Raw genomic sequence first — 17,044 nt, forward strand, 5'->3', positions numbered from 1 at the left:
GACTATTTCCTTTGCTGTACAGAAGCTCTTTAGTTGGATGTACTCCTATTGGTCTATTTTTGCTTTTGTTGCCTGTCCTTTTGAAGTCTTAGCCGCAAAATATTTGCCTTGACTTGTATTCAGAAGAGCTTTCCCTATGTTTTCTTCTGGTAGTTTTATTATTTCAAGTCTTATGTTTAAGTACTTTATCTTGAGTTGATTTTTATATATGGTGAGAGACAGGGGTCTAGTTTAATTCTGCATATGGTTATCCCGTTTTCGCAGTACCACCTAGTGAACACAGTGTACTTTCCCTAATCTTGGTGCCTTTGAAAATGAGTTGGATGAGTTCATGCTCTTTGTAGGGACATGGATGAAGCTGGAAACTATCATTCTGAGCAAACTATCGCAAGGACAGAAAACCAAACACCACATGTTCTCACTCATAGGTGGGAATTGAACAATGAGAACACTTGGACACAGGGTGGGGAACATCACACACTGGGGCCTGTCCTAGGGTGTGGGGCTGGGGGAGGGATAGCATTAGGAGAAATACCTAATGCAAACGATGAGTTCATGGGTGCAGCAAACCAACATGGCACATGTATACCTGTGTAACAAACCTGCACGTTGTGCACATGTACCCTAGAACTTAAAGTATTAAAAAAACTTAAATATTAAAATATTCTAACAAGTCCTGAAAAATACATTAAAAAAGAAAGAGTTGGCTATAAATATATGGATTTCTGAATTATCTATTCTGTTGGTCTATGTCTGTTTTCATGACAGTGCCATGCTGTTTTGGTTACTATAGCTTTGTGAAGTCAGGTAATATGCCTCCAGCTTTCTTTTTGCTCAAAATTGTTTGGGCTACTTGGGATCTTTTGTGGTTCTATACAAATATTAGGATTGTTTTTCTATTTCTGTGAAGAATGTCGTTGGTGTTTTGATAGGGATTGCATTGAATCTGTAGATTGTTTTGGGTAGGATGGCCATTTTAACAACATTCTTCTAATCAGTGAACGTTAGATGTCTCCATTTTTATCTATCCTCTTCAATTTTTTTCAGTATTCTGTGGGTTTTACTATAGATATTTCTTACCTCCTTAGTTAAATTTATTTCTAGGTACATTTTTGTAGCTATTATAAAGGACATTGCTTTCTTTTTCAGCTAGTTCATTATTGGTGTTTAGAAATGCTACTGTTTTTATGTTGATTTTTGCATCATACTGAGTTCATTTATTATATAAAAACTTGCATCATACTGAAAAATTTATCCAAAAATCAACATTTTTGTATGTTGATTCTGCAACTTTACTGAATTCCTTTATCAGTTCTCTGTCTTTTGGTGGGGTCTGTAGGCTTTTCTAAATGAAAGATTATATTGCCTGCAAACATGAACAATCTACTTCTTCTCCAATTTTGATGCCCTTTGTTTCTTTTTCTTCCCTAATTGCTCTGGCTAAGACTTCCAGTACTGTGTTAAATAGGAGTGGCGGAAGTGGGCACCCTGTGTGCCAGTTCTTAGGGAAAAGGCTTTCTTCTTTTCCACATTCAGTATAATGCTAGCTGTGGGTTTGTCATACATGGCCTTTATTGTTCTGAGTTATGTTTCTTCTGCGTCTTATCATAAAGGGATGTTGAATTTTTTTTTCTTTGTTCATCTTTTCTTTTATACTTTAAGTTCTAGGGTACATGTGCACAACGTGCAGGTTTGTTACATATGTATACATGTGCCCTGTTGGTGTGCTGCACCCATTAACTCATCATTTACATTAGGTATATCTCCTAATGCTCCCTCCCCCACAACAGTCCCCGGTGTGTGACGTTCCCCTTCCTGTGTTCAAGTGTTCTCATTGTTCAGTTCCCACCTATGAGTGAGAACATGTGGTGTTTGGTTTTTCGTCCTTGCGATAGTTTGCTCAGAATGATGATTTCCAGCTTCATCCATGTCCCTACAAGGACATGAAATCATCCTTGTTTATGGCTGCATAGTATTCCATGGTGTATATGTACCACATTTTCTTAATCCAGTCTATCACTGATGGACATTTGGGTTGGTTCCAAGTCTTTGCTATTGTGAATAGTGCCACAATAAACATACGTGTGCATGTGTCTTTATAGCAACATGATTTATAATCCTTTAGGTATATACCCAGTAATGAGATGGCTGGATCAAATGGTATTTCTAGTTCTAGATCCCTGAGGAATCGCCACACTGACTTCCACAATGGTTGAACTAGTTTACAGTCCCACCAACAGCGTAAAAGTGTTTCTATTTCTCCACATCCTCTCTAGCACCTGTTGTTTCCTGACTTTTTAATGATCACCATTCTAACTGGTGTGGGATGGTATCTCATTGTGGTTTTGATTTGCATTTCTCTGATGGCCAGTGATGATGAGCATTTTTTCTTGTATCTGTTGGCTATATAAATATCTTCTTTTGAGAAGTGTCTGTTCATATCCTTTGCCCACTTTTTGATGGGGTTGTTTGTTTTTTTTCTTGTAAATGTTGATTTTATCAAATGCTTTTTCTGCATGTCTTGATGATCGTGTGGTTTTTGTCCTTCAGTCTGCTGATGAACCACCCTTGCAACCCTGAGATGAATCCCACTTCATCATGGGGAATGATCTTTTTGATGTGTTCTTAGATTTGGTTACCTAGAATTTTGTCAAAGATTTTTGTATCTATGTTCATGAGAGACGTTGGCCTGTAGTTTTCTTTTTTGTGTGTCCTTTTCTGGTTTTGGTATCAGGACAATGCTTGGCTCATAGAATGAGGAAGAATTCCCTCCCCTTCAATTCTCGGAATAGTTTGAGAAGAATTGGTATAAGTTCTGTAAAAGTTTAAAAGGTAGCTGGGCATGGTGGCTCATACCTGTAATCCCAGCACTCTGGGAAGCCAAGGTGGACAGATTACTTGAGGACAGGAGTTAGAGACCAGCCTAGCCAACATGGTAAAACCCCATCTCTACCAAAAATACCAAAATACCAAAAATTCTGGTTAAAATACCAAAAAAATAGCTGGGTGTGGTGGCTGGCACCTGTAATTTCAGCTACTTGGGAGGTTGAGGCAGGAGGATCACTTGACCCCAGAAGGCAGCAGTTGCAGTGAGCTGAGATTGCACCACTGCAGTCCAGCCTGGGTGACAGAGCAACACTCTATCTCAAAAAAAAAAATTAATTTGAAGGATATCTAGTCCTGGTTTGTAAAGTGTTTCTGTTGATACTATTTATACATCCATTGAAGCTATATATTTTTTTATTCTCTGAATGTTGAAGGTAGGGAGCAGGAAGTACTATCTACTCTTATAAATGGTTTTATCATAATCAAAATAATCAAAACAACCATGGTAGCATACACACACACAGAAAACATCTTTTCCTGGAGGGTAGGTAGGTTAATGAAAACCTTGCCTCTTTTAATGAAATTAAGTAGGAATTCCAAAGATTGGATTAGATTTATCTTATCTCAGTCCTGAATTTCAGACATTCTAAAATTATAAAAATATAAGAAACCAGGTGTGGGGTGTGCACCTGTAGTCCCAGCTACTTGGGGAGTCTGAGGCAGGAAGATCACTTGAGCCCAGGAGTTCAAGGCTATATGGTGAGCTATGATAGTCACCACACTCCAGCCTGAGGGACAGAGTGAGACACTTTTTCTAAAAATATATATGAGGCCAGATGTGGTGGCTCACGCCTGTAATCCCAGCACTTTGGGAGGCCGAGGCGGGTGGGCCACAAGGTCAGGAGTTCGAGACCAGTCTGGCCAACCTAGTGAAACCCTGTCTCTACTAAAAATACAGAAAATTAGCCGGGCATGGTGACAGGTGCCTGAAATCCCAGCTACTCTGGAGGCTGAGACAGGAGAATTGCTTGAACCCGGGAGGTGGAGGTTGCAGTGAGTTGAGATTGTGCCACTGTACTCCAGCCCGGGCGACAATGCAAGCCTTCGTCTCAAAATATGTGTGTGTGTGTGTATATATATATATATATATATATATATATATGTGTGTGTGTGTATATATATATATATGTGTATATATATATACACACACTTTAGCCTCACCTGCAGATTCACAAATTGAAGCAATCCTAAATCCACTTTTATTTTTAATTGACAATAATTGTATATATTTGCGAGGTACAATGCGATGTTTAGATATATGTATACATGGCAGAAAAAAGCTAACATGTCCATTGCCTTAGTTACTTTTTGTGGTGAGGATGTTTAAAATCTACTTTTAGCAATTTTGGAGCATATATTAATACATCTTTTCTTAAATTCCATGGCAGGTTAAATACATCATTATTAACTCTAGTTGCCATGCTGTGCAGGGGATCCCTAAAACTCATTTCTCTGACTGAAACTTGTTTGTACCTTTTCATCAATATTTCCTTTTTCCCCATTTTATCCCCCAGTCTCTGGCAACCACCATTCTTCTCTCTGCTGCTATGAATTTAATTGTTTTAGAATCCACACAATTGAGATCCTACTAAATCTTTTTTTTTCTTTTTCTTTTTTTTTTTTTTTTTTGGAGACAGAGTTTTGCTCTTGTTGCCCAAGCTGGAGTGCAATGCCACAATCTTGGCTCACTGCAACCTCTGCCTCCCAGGTTCAAGTGATTCTTCTGCCTCAGCCTCCCGAGTAGCTGGGGTTACAGGTGCGCGCCACCATGCCTGGCTAATTTTTTGTATTTTTAGTAGAAATGGGGTTTCACCATGTTAGCCAGGCTGGTCTCGACCCCCTGACCTCAGGTGATCTGCCCGCCTCGGCAGTAGCGTCGTAAGCCTGAGCGCTTGTGTACCGTGACATACTCTTCTGCTCAGGACGTCTCGGTCTGGCAGGTAGCTTTAGAGCAGGTGGTGTTCAGGGTTCCCATGCATGCTCTGTGCCAGCCCTTCCGACCGGCTCACTTGTTGCTTCACTGAAACCTCACAGTAACCCTTGAAGAGGCAGGTACTCTGATTTCCAGCTTCCAGAGGAGAGCCCAGCCTTCGATGTTCAGTTACTTTCCATGGCGATGTTATCATGAAGGTTGCAGGAGGACTTGAACTTGGAGCTGCTGCTCTGCTCTCAGCATCACCACGTGCGTCGACAGCCTCTTAGAGTTACCTATGAGGAAACCGACCCTCAGCCTTGGTACCATGACACACGGATCGAATCCCCTGCCCTCGCTGCTGTCTGCTGCAATGTTATTAGCAATCCGTTGCAGCAGAACACTCCCCGGGGTAGAAAGAAAGTGAAAGAATGCAGGAAAAAGCCTATTACTTCTCCAGGGAGGTGGTCAACCCATGACAGTTGTCCAGGGACTGCCACCTCCCCACTCTTTTCAATGACAGTTGTCCAGGGACTGCCACCTCTCCACTCTTTTCAATGACAGTTGTCCAGGGACTGCCACCTCTCCACTCTTTTCAATGACAGTTGTCCAGGGACGGCCACCTCTCCACTCTTCTCAATGACAGTTGCCCAGGCATGGCCACCTCTCCGCTCTTCTCAATGACAGTTGTCCGAGGACTGCCACCTCTCCACTCTTTTCAATGACAATTGTCCAGGGACTGCTACCTCGCCACTCTTTTCAGAGGCCCTTCCTGTATAGAGGATATTCATGATAACATGTTTCCTGTGTCCCAGGGGAAAACGTGTACCCACATATATCACCTCATGTTTTTTTTTGTTTGTTTTTTTAAGACAGAGTCTCATTCTGTCACCCAGGCTGGAGTGCAGTGGCACGATCTTGACTCACTGCAAGCTCCGACTCCCGGGTTCACACCATTCTCCTGCCTCAGCCTCCCTAGTAGCTGGGACTACAGGCGCCCGCCACCACGCCCGGCTAATTTTTTGCATTTTTAGTAGAGATGGGGTTTCACCGTGTTAGCCAGGATGGTCTCGATCTCCTGACCTCATGATCCGCCCACTTTGGCCTCCCAAAGTGCTGGGATTACAGACGTGAGCCACTGCGCTCAGCCACCTCATCTTGTAAAGCATATTAAATTACTAAATCAGAACAGGGTTAGAAATATTCAAACTTGGTCGGGTGTGGTGGCTCACGCCTATAATCTCAGCACTTTGGGAGGCCGAGGCTGGTGGATCATGAGGTCAAGAGATAGAGACCATCCTGGCCAACATGGTGAAACCCTGTCTCTACTAAAAACACAAAAATTAGCCAGGCCTGGTGGTGCACGCCTGTAATCCCAGCTACTTGGGAGGCTGAGGCAGGAGAATCGATTGAACCCAGGAAGCAGAGGTTTGCAGCAAGTAGAGATCATGCCACTACACTCCAGCCTGGGTGACAGAGTGAGACTCTATCAAAAAGAAAAAAAGAAGAAGAAAATATTCAAATTTGGCTGGGCGCAGTAGCTCATGCCTGTAATCCCAACACTTTGGGAGGCCAGGGGTAAGAGGATTACTTGAGCCCAGGAGTTTGAAACCAGCCTGGGCAACATAGTGACACCTTGTCTCTACTTTTTTTTTTTTTTTAAAGGCCTGGTGCAGTGATGCAAGCCTGTGGTCGCAGCTACTAGGAAGGCTGAGGTGGGAAGCTTGCTTCAGCCCAGGAGTTCGAGGCTGCAGTGAGCTGTGACTGCACCACTGCACTCCAGCCTGGGCAACAGCAAGACTCAGTCATTTAAAAAAAAAAACAAACAAAAAACACCACAGCTTATTGAATAGATTTTAGCTACCATGACATTTCTAGGCTCTTGTCTCCCACCTCTACCCTCCTTTAAATATTTTCTTCTGACTCTCCTAATTACTTGAAATTTTATAATTTATCTTCTGACTCTCCTAATTACTTGAAGTAATCTCAGCAAGCCCATCTTAAAACTTTCCCATGGAAAGAATGGTAGGCAGAAGGAAAGACGGGGGCTAAATACTGGGGACAACTTTGTCCCTGCAGGTCAAGGGAGTATAAAGCAGGTGCCCTGTCTAAGCAAGCAGAGCCAAAAATCCGTGTTAACAGAAACCCTACAGGCTGATTTTTACTTTGGTGGGATGCTTCCAGTTCCAGGGAGGTGACATGACAAGACTTTACTGTGTATCTGCAAGTTTAGCTCAAAAACTATAAATGTACAGATGTCAAGCAAGGGTGATCTCACACCAATACCGCCCCTCAGACAATGACAAGCTGCTGTCTACCTGAGTCTTTAAAATGTTTTATTACATGGTATTCCTTCGATTGCTTTGTCATCTACCACAAAGTAATGGTGGGGGGAAAGGAGATTTGCTCAAACTGGCCAACCAGTACTGGCTGTCACTATTTATAGGGCTCTTATAATGACAAGAAAAAAGGAAATTTGAGAGATTTAGGAATTATTCCTGGGGCCTTATAACAACTGCTACATTTCAATGTCATCATAGACCAGGCTTCTAGACAACTCGGGGAGGTAATTGATAGCAGAGGTCCTGGACGTGCACCTATAAAATGAGTTAGCAGGTAGGGATAGAATTGGTCCTGATGGTGATTTACGACATTAATCTTTTCATGTGCTCATTAGCCATTTGCATAGCTTCTTTGGAGAAATGGATATTCAGACCCTTTGCCCATATTAAATTGGATCGTCTCCCTTTTAGTGTATGTATATTATCTAGATATAAATCCCTTATCAGATATGACTTTTAAGTATTCAGCAGTTTATTTTTACACCAAAACTGTTTACTGTGTTTATGGAACCTGATGTTAACAGGTGTAACAGAAATCAACTGATCTAAGAACCCTGTAACTGGTTATTAGTAACTGGTAGGAATCTATTTGCCAGAGGTTTTTTTTTTTAATTTTATTATTATTATACTTTAAGTTTTAGGGTACATATGCACAACGTGCAGGTTTGTTACATATGTATACACGTGCCATGTTGGTGTGCTGCACCCATTAACTCATCATTTAGCATTAGGTATATCTCCTAATGCTATCGCTCCCCCCTCCCCCAACCCCACAACAGTCCCTGGTGTGTGATGTTCCCCTTCCTGTGTCCAAGTGTACTCATTGTTCAATTCCCACCTATGAGTGAGAACATGCAGTGTTTGGCTTTTTGTCCTTGCGATAGTTTGCTGAGAATGATGGTTTCCAGTTTCATCCATGTCCCTACAAAGGACATGAACTCATCCTTTTTTATGGCTGCATAGTATTCCATGGTGTATATGTGCCACATTTTCTTAATCCAGTCTATTGCTGTTGGACATTTAGGTTGGTTCCAAGTCTTTGCTATTGTGAATAGTGCCGCTATAAACTAGAATGGCGATCATTAAAAAGTCAGGAAACAACAGGTGCTGGAGAGGATGTGGAGAAATAGGAACACTTTTACACTGTTGGTGGGACCGTAAACTAGTTCAGCCATTGTGGAAGTCAGTGTGGCAATTCCTCAGGGATCTAGAACTAGAAATACCATTTGACCCAGCCATCCCATTACTGGGTATATACCCTAAGGATTATAAATCATGCTGCTATAAAGACACATGCCAGTGGTTTTTTGTTTTTTGAGATGGAGTTTCACTCTTGTCCAGGCTGGAGTGCAATGATGCAGTCTTGGCTCACTGCAACCTTCGCCTTCCAGATTCAAGCGATTCTCCTGCCTCAGCCTCCTGAGTAGCTGGGATTACAGGCATGTGCCACCACTCCTGGCTAATTTTTTTATATTTTTAATAGAGATGGAGTTTCACCATGTTGGCCAGGCTGGTCTTGAACTCCTGACCTCAAGTGATCCACCTGCCTTGGTCTCCCAAAGTGCTGGGATTACAGGCGTGAGCCACTGCACCTGGCCATTGCCAGTGTTTTTGAGTATGACATACTAGCTAAGAACATCTGTGGCATGCACGTCCAATTTTATTCTAAGATGCTGTTTGGGAACTAAGGGTACAGACAACAAAATGTCCCAGCACTGATGTCTAGTAATAGGATAAACAGATATTGTGGCAACAAATGCTTCGTCCATGAAGAATTGAAAAGAGAAGGCCGTTCATCTAGTGAGGTGATTGATGTTAGTTGTATCTACTTGAGAATTTGCTGCAAGATCCTCTTTTAAGTCTTGTCACTCTTTCCACAGGTCCTACTTGCTCTATATTACCAAAGAATCCACTTTTCCCCCAAAACCTGAGCTCTCAGCCTTGTATCAAGATGGAAGGAGACAAATCGCTCACCTTTTCCAGCTACGGGCTGCAATGGTGTCTCTATGAGCTAGACAAGGAAGAATTTCAGACATTCAAGGAATTACTAAAGAAGAAATCTTCAGAATCGACCACATGCTCTATTCCACAGTTTGAAATCGAGAATGCCAACGTGGAATGTCTGGCACTCCTCTTGCATGAGTATTATGGAGCATCGCTGGCCTGGGCTACGTCCATTAGCATCTTTGAAAACATGAACCTGCGAACCCTCTCGGAGAAGGCACGGGATGACATGAAAAGTAAGCGAGACTTGGGACAAGTCTAGGGCAGGGAGGGGAGGTGATTTCAGGTTCTCATGGGAACAGGGAAGAATCGTTGTTCAGTAACCGGCTCCACCTCTGCAGTGTGAGTCTGAGCTGTGAGAAGGATCCTATTGGTCATCGTCATTGGTTGGAAATTAGTGTAGTCTCTAGCCTGTAAAATAATGGAGGAGGGAGAAATGGGTAGACAACGGCTCCACCCACATGGACTTCATTGAAGTTAATAGGATTTGGGTTGTAAGTGCTAAGCTTGAGCTCTGGCGCTATCACGGGTCGGTTGTGAGACTTCGGGCATGTCTCCTTCTGTTCTGACCCTTGGATCCCACATCTTGGAACAGGAAATGTGTTACTGTGTGTGCCATTGCAAAAGTTCAATAATGTGTAATGCATAGGAAGTGGCTAAGAACCTCATTGGTTGATAACATTGGTAGTGGTTTGGTGCGAGTCTCGTGCTTGGCCGTGGGATGAAGGACTGAGGTTCCAGGTGCTCATCTGAGGCTTGGACTTTCTTGGGCTATTGGTGTCCGTAGTGCAGCAAGAATTCGGATCAGATTCTATGATTATTTTAGGGTACTTAGGAGAAAGGTCATTTAGAAAATAGCAGTTCTTTTTTATCTAGAGAATCTCTCCAACTGTAGACTGAAAACAAATCCCTTGACTGAGCCCTTGAATTGGCCCTACAAATACAGGTGTGGGCTGGATGCAGTGACTCATGGCTGTGATCCCAGCACTTTGGGAGGCTGAGGTGGGTGGATCACCTGAGGTCAAGAGATCGAGACCAGCCTGGCCAACATGGAGAAACCCCGTCTCTACTAGAAATACAAAAAATTAGCCAGGCGTCATGGCACATGCCTGTAATCCCAGCTACTCAGGAGACTGAGGCAGGAGAATCACTTGAATCCGGGAGGCAGAGGTTGCAGTGAGCCGAGATTATGCCACTGCACTCCAGCCTGGGCAACGGAGTGAGACTGTGTCTCAAAAAAAAAAAAAAATATATATATATATATATAATATATACACACACACATATATACACACACATATACACATATATTTTTATATATACACACATATTTTTATATACACATACACATACACACATATACACATATATTTTTATATATACACACATATATATTTATATATACACATACACATATACACATATATTTTTATATATACACATATATATTTATATATACACACATATTTATATATACACATACACATACACATATATTTTTATATACACACATATATATTTATATATACATATACACACACATATACACATATATTTTTATATATACACATATTTATATATACACATATATTTTTATATACACACACACATATTTATACACACACACACGCAGGTGGCATGCCTGTACACATATATATTTATACACACACACGCACACACGCAGGTGGCATGCCTGTACACACATATATATTTATACACACACGCACACACGCAGGTGGCATGCCTGTACACACATATATATTTATACACACACACACACACACGCGCGCAGGTGGCATGCCTGCACATCCGTGACCTGGATGCAGCTCAGCAGCATTAGCTGCAAAACGCTTCAAGGGCTCTCTCTCCTGAGCTTGGAAAAAAGGCCCAGTGTGGAGGGCATGTGGGTATTATTCCCAGGAAGAGAGTGCATAAAAATGAGAGCTAGGGTTTATCAAGTCAGCACTGCACTGAAACTGTCATGTCCCCACCATCTGACTCTCAACCCCACCCAGTGAAATGGGTTCCCTATGGCTGAAGCTGTGATAGAGGATCTTACAAGATACATAACTTGACCAACTTCATGGGCTAATAAGTGGCAAAGATGAGATTGATTGTTTAACATTCATCTACCGTGGCATATGTTTAAATTCTCATATGTCTGGTGTCAGAGATTTGCAGTTTTCCATGAGGTAGAGAGAAAGAAATGGGCAACTTTAAAAATGAATGATAGCCATAAAAAAGGATGAGTTCATGTCCTTTATAGGGACATGGATGAAGATGGAAACCATCATTCTCAGCAAACTATCACAAGGACAGAAAACCAAACACCGCATGTTGTCACTCATAGGTGGGAATTGAACAATGAAAACGCTTGGACACAGGAAGGGGAACATCACACACCGGGGTCTGTTGTGGGGTGGGGGAAGTGGGGAGTGATAGCATTAGGAGATATACCTAATGTAAATAACGAGTTAATGGGTGCAGCACACCAACATAGCACATGTATACATATGTAACAAACCTGCACATTGTGCACATGTACCCTAGAACTTAAAGTATAATTTTAAAAAAAAAATGGATGGTATAGGCCAGGTGGGTGTGGCTAATGCCTGTAATCCCAGCACTCTGGGAGGCCAAGGTGGGTGGATCATTTGAGGTCAGGAGTTTGAGACCAGCCTGGCCAACATGGTGAAACACTGTCTCTACTAAAAATACAAAAATTAGCCAGGCATGGTGGCACACACCTGTAATCCCAGCTACTTGGGAGGCTGAGGCAGGAGAATCACTTGAACCCGGGAGGTAGAGGTTGCAGTGAGTCAAGATCGCGCCACTGCACTCCAGCCTGGGTGACAGAGCGAGACTCCGTATTTAAAATAAAAATTTTTTTTTGTTTTTGAGACGGAGTCTGGCTCTGTCGCCCAGGCTGGAGTGCAGTGGCGCAATCTCGGCTCACCGCAAGCTCCGCCTTCCGGGTTCATGCCATTCTCCTGCTTCAGCCTCCTGAGTAGCTGAGACTACAGGTGCCCGCCAGCACTCCTGGCTAATTTTTTGTATTTTTAGTAGAGAAGGGGTTTCACCTTGTTAGCCAGGATGGTCTCGATCTCCCGACCTTGTGATCCACCCACCTTGGCCTCCCAAAGTTCTGGGATTACAGGTGTGAGCCACTGTGCCTGGCCTAAAATAAAATTTTTTAAAAATTGTATATAAAAATGTCTTATGGCTGGGCACCGTGGCTCACGCCTGTAATCCCAATACTTTGAGAGTCCTAGGCGGGCGGATCACTTGAGGTCAGGAGTTCAAGACTAGCCTGTCTAACACGGTAAAACCCTGTCTCTACTAAAAATACAAAAAATTAGCCTGGTGTAGTGGCAGGCACCTGTAATCCCAGCTACTAGGTAGGCTGAGGCAGGAGAATCGCTTGAAGCTGGGAGGCAGAGGTTGCAGTGAGCTGAGATTGTGCCGTTGCACTCCAGCCTGGGCGACAGATTGAGACTGTCTTTTTTTTTTTTATAGAAAGTCTTACAGTTCCTATTCCAGATGAGAGGGAAGTTTAGAATCACTTCCTAGAAGGAGTAAGCTTTAGGCTGAGATAAACAAAGAAGAGGAGTTGGCGGAGTTGCCTGAGCATGGTAGAGAAAAACATTCTGAGCATAAAGTCAGGGCATCCCAAAGCCTTTAACAGAGGGTTTGGCTGGGCCACGGAGAATGAGCAGGAGGTGAAGACGGAGGGACTAGAAGTCAGATAACATGGCATCTTGAAAATACTTGTAATAGCAAGTAGAAGCAATTACATAGTTTGAAAGGGGTGGTAATAGAAATCATCAAACTTTCCTTTCAGCACTGTTGCAAAAGTGTTGAGTGACCCAGAGGGGATTGTGGAATAAACACAGGGAGACGAGTTTGAGGTCTTTCTACTGTCCATGAGATAAATAAAGGTGGCTTGGAATAGGATGATGGCACAGAAAGAAGTAGAAATGGAAGATGCTTCCAAAGTGTACAAGACAGTTTGTGTGTGTGTGTGTGTGTGCGCGTGCGCGCGTGCGTGTGTGTGTGTGTGTGTGTGTGTGTGTGTTTGAAACAGAGTCTTGCTCTGTCGCCCAGGCTGGGCTGTCGCCCAGTGCAGTGGCGCGATCTCGGCTCACTGCAAACTCCGCCTCCCGGGTTCGTGCCATTCTCCTGCCTCAGCCTCCCGAGTAGCTGGGACTACAGGCGCCCGCCACCACGCCCGGCTAATTTTTTGTATTTTTAGTAGAGACGGGGTTTCACCATGTTAGCCAGGATGGTCTCGATCTCCTGACCTCGTGATCCACCTGCCTCAGCCTCCTAAAGTGCTGGGATTACAGGCGTGAGCCACCGCGCCTGGCCACAAGACAGTTTTTAAGAACTAAATGCAGAGAGAGAGAACGCAGTGTCATGGGTGATCCCCAAGTTTCTGGCATGATAAACTGGGTGGATGGGGTTCCATGGCCTCACCCCATGGAAGAGATGTTTTGCAAAAAGTAGATTGGGGGATGGGTAGTCAATCTTGGACCTTGTAAGTTGTTGAAGGTACCTGTATTTGGGTAACTCATAGGCATCTAGTGAGTCATTGACTAACTGGGTCTGGAGTTCAAGACAGGTCTTGAGGAGGACTCCTGAAAAGAAACTTAATCACCACAATTAACCTCATTGTGTGACTTACCCAAGGCCATCCAGCAAAACGGCCAGAGAATTCTTCACAAACCTCTGTTTCTTCAGTGTGCTTCTGCTGGCTCAGGAAAGTCTGACTTTGTTGTCTCCGTTATAGGCCAATCATGGAATAAACTGAGATCCTGAGGTTTGTCTTGGTTCCCCTCCATAATTTGGACACGGGACATTCTTATCCTTGGCTTGGGTAATTACAGTGACTTCATTGAGGCCAGTCTCCCTTTTTCTTTGTCTTCCAGGACATTCACCAGAAGATCCTGAAGCAACGATGACTGACCAAGGACCAAGCAAGGAAAAAGTGCCAGGTTAGAGGGGTGGAGTTGGGGGAAATAGGATGTGCTTAAAGACACATGGCAGCCAGTTTGCATCTCTAGGCATTAGAACCATGACTTCTGATAGTCTAGTGTTCTTTCTAGTCTAACTACCCTACATTAGCTGACCGGATGGGTTCTGAGGATCTGGTAATTCTGGTATTTCTCTTTCCAAGTTGAAGAGTTCTGTGGCCTGGGGCCAGGTCTAGTGGCTCATGCCTGTAATCCCAGTACTTTGGGAGGCTGAGGTGGGCAGATCACCTGAGGTCAGGAGTTCAAGACCAGCCTGGCCAACATGGTGAAACGTCGTCTCTACTAAAAATACAAAAAAATAGCCAGACGTGGTGGTGGGTGCCTGTAATCCCAGCTACTTGGGAGGTGGAGGCAGGAGAATCACTTGGACCCGGTAGGCAGAGGTTGCAGTGAGCCGAGATCACACCACTGCACTCCAGCCTGGGCGACAGAACGAGACTCCATCTCAAAAAAAAAAAAAAAAAAAAGAGTTCTGTGGTCTTCAGGCTTTCTTACAACTTGAGGACTTCCCATCGTCTTCAGTTTGGGTAACCTTATGACCCCACTATGACAAGCTCCTCCCAATAACCCAGTAGGAGGCTTTGGTGGAAAGAATCAGATAGCATGAAACCAGATTCAATACAATTCCCCAAACATTAGAGCACTGACCTCATGCCAGCCACTGCTCTGCGTATTTACAATACATCGTTGGCCAAAGCATACGTGTTCATGAAATTCACACATTGTGGGACAGGAAAGACAAACCAAAAAACTAAGATGACACAAGGGAAGGCAAAACACACAGGGAGAAAGGCAGGCTGCATAGACACCATGAATTCTCCTCTGCTACCTGCGCCGCTACCATCTTGCTCAGCTCCCAGCAGCCAGTGTTGACCGTGAAACCTAATCTGGTTTGGAAGGGGTTGAAGCCAACCTCGTTTTGATGGAGCTTTGCTCAGGCTGTGGGTGGGGAAAGAGCTCTTCAAAGCTAACATCTGAGTAACTGGCATCTGAATCAGAGGCTCTGAATCCCAAAGGTTCTACTTTGCTCAGAGTTTGATGTCAATCTAGGCTTCACCGGGTGAGTGTGACATGTTATCCTTCATGTGATAAGACTGCGTCTCAGAGGTTTTATAAGTTACCAAATGGTGGCTTAGAGCGTAAAATAAACACACAGAGTAACCTTGATAGTAGGACTGAAACAAACCTGACAAAAGCCGGGGGTCTTGCCATCAGCCACGTTAGGAGATCCCTCTGAGCTGCTCCTGGACACGAGAACTACCACTTCTTGAGACCACTTGGATCACGCACCGTGCCAGTGCTTTAGTCCATGCTTCTCAATCCTCTGTGGTACTGGCTGTCGTTAGTCATGCAGCGAGACCCAGAAGCTCAATGCACACCAAAGTCTCACATGGTTAAATTGAGGCAAGGTGGGCTTGTGCCAGAAAGACCTGACTGCAGGTGTTATCCACGTACAAAGATGAAGGCCATCAGAGACAGACACTCTACCCTCAAGGAGCTTACATCATAGGGGATCACAGGCCTTCGTCGTTGCTCCTGATGGGCTGGGTATGGAAAGATGTCCCTCAAAGGCTGGGCGCGGTGGCTCACGCCTGTAATCCCAGCACTTTGGGAGGCCGAGGTGGGTGGATCACCTGAGGTCGGGAGTTCGAGACCAGTCTGACCAACATGGAGACACCCCATGTCTACTAAAAATACAGGAAAAAAAAAACTAGCCAGGCGTGGTGGCATGTGCCCGTAATCCTAGCTACTCAAGAGGCTGAGGCAGGAGAATCACTTGAACCCAGGAGGTAGAGGTTGTGGTGAGCCACTGCACTCCAGCCTGGGAAACAAGAGCTTAACTCTGTCTCAAAAAAAAAAAAAGTCCCTTGAAACTAAGCCAACCCAATAAATGCAGTTTTTTTTTTATCAAGCTATAGAATCAAATGTGGTCCATGTATACAATAGTATATTATTTGGCATAAAAAGGAATGATGTGGCTGGACACAGTGACTCATACCTGTAATCCCAGCACTTTGGGAGGCTGAGGCAGGCAGATTGCTCGAACCCAGGAGTTCGAGACCAACCTGGGCAATGTAGCAAGACCCGACGTCTACCAAAAGAATTAAAATTAGCTGAGTGTGGGAGTGTGCACGTATAGTCCCAGCTACTTGGGAAGCTGAGGCAGGAGGATTGCTTGAGTCCAGGGGGGTTGAGGCTGCATTGAGCCATGATTGTGTCACTGCACTTCAGCCTGGGTGATAAAATGAGACTATGTCTTTAAAAAATATATATACACACATACATTAATGTATGCTACAAGATGGATGGACCTTGAAGACACTAGGCTAAGTGAAGGAAACCATCACAAAAAGATATATATTGAATGATTCCATTCATATAAAATGTCTAGAATCGGCAAATCCATTTAAATACTAGATTAGTGGTTGCCTAGGGCTGGGGTGAATGGGGAAACTTAGAGGGTGAGGACTAAGAGGGCAGGGTTTTTCTCGTTGAGGGTGATTAAGATGTTCTAAAATTGTACTGATGGTTACAATGTGAATATTCTCAATCATGATTGCACACTTTCAATGGGTGAATTGTATGATTTGTGAAATTTATTTCTGTAAATCTATTACAAAACTCTAGAGAAGACAATAAGATACATCCATCCGAAGTCAGCATCGTACGTATGACGACTACAAAGCCCAGAGAGACAGATTTGCCCAAAGAAGATCAGCCAACAGAAAGCCTGATTTTTTTTTTCTTTCCAGACTGAGATGTCATCTTTGTGTTAGATCTTTTTTCTTTTCCTATGTCTTTTTTTTTTTTCTTTCCCGCCTAGATAGTCTCGCTCTGTCACCCAGGCTGGAGTGCAATGGCTTGAT

At 43.6% G+C, this 17,044-nt stretch overlaps 1 protein-coding gene across 1 annotated transcript in view; it reads left to right on the forward strand.

Annotated features, from left to right (window-relative positions):
• Positions 1–17,044, forward strand: part of NLRP5 (NLR family pyrin domain containing 5) — a 75,036-nt gene that overhangs the window by 7,941 nt on the left and 50,051 nt on the right. Inside the window, exons 2-3 of the mRNA NM_001433705.1 lie at positions 9,021–9,380; positions 14,073–14,138. Coding sequence (NP_001420634.1) covers positions 9,092–9,380; positions 14,073–14,138 — 355 coding nt within the window. The 5' untranslated portion in view covers positions 9,021–9,091. The remainder of the gene's footprint in view (positions 1–9,020; positions 9,381–14,072; positions 14,139–17,044) is intronic.

This window comes from Homo sapiens, chromosome 19, assembly GCF_000001405.40.
Source record: "Homo sapiens chromosome 19, GRCh38.p14 Primary Assembly".
In the NCBI taxonomy this organism is placed as follows: domain Eukaryota; kingdom Metazoa; phylum Chordata; class Mammalia; order Primates; family Hominidae; genus Homo; species Homo sapiens.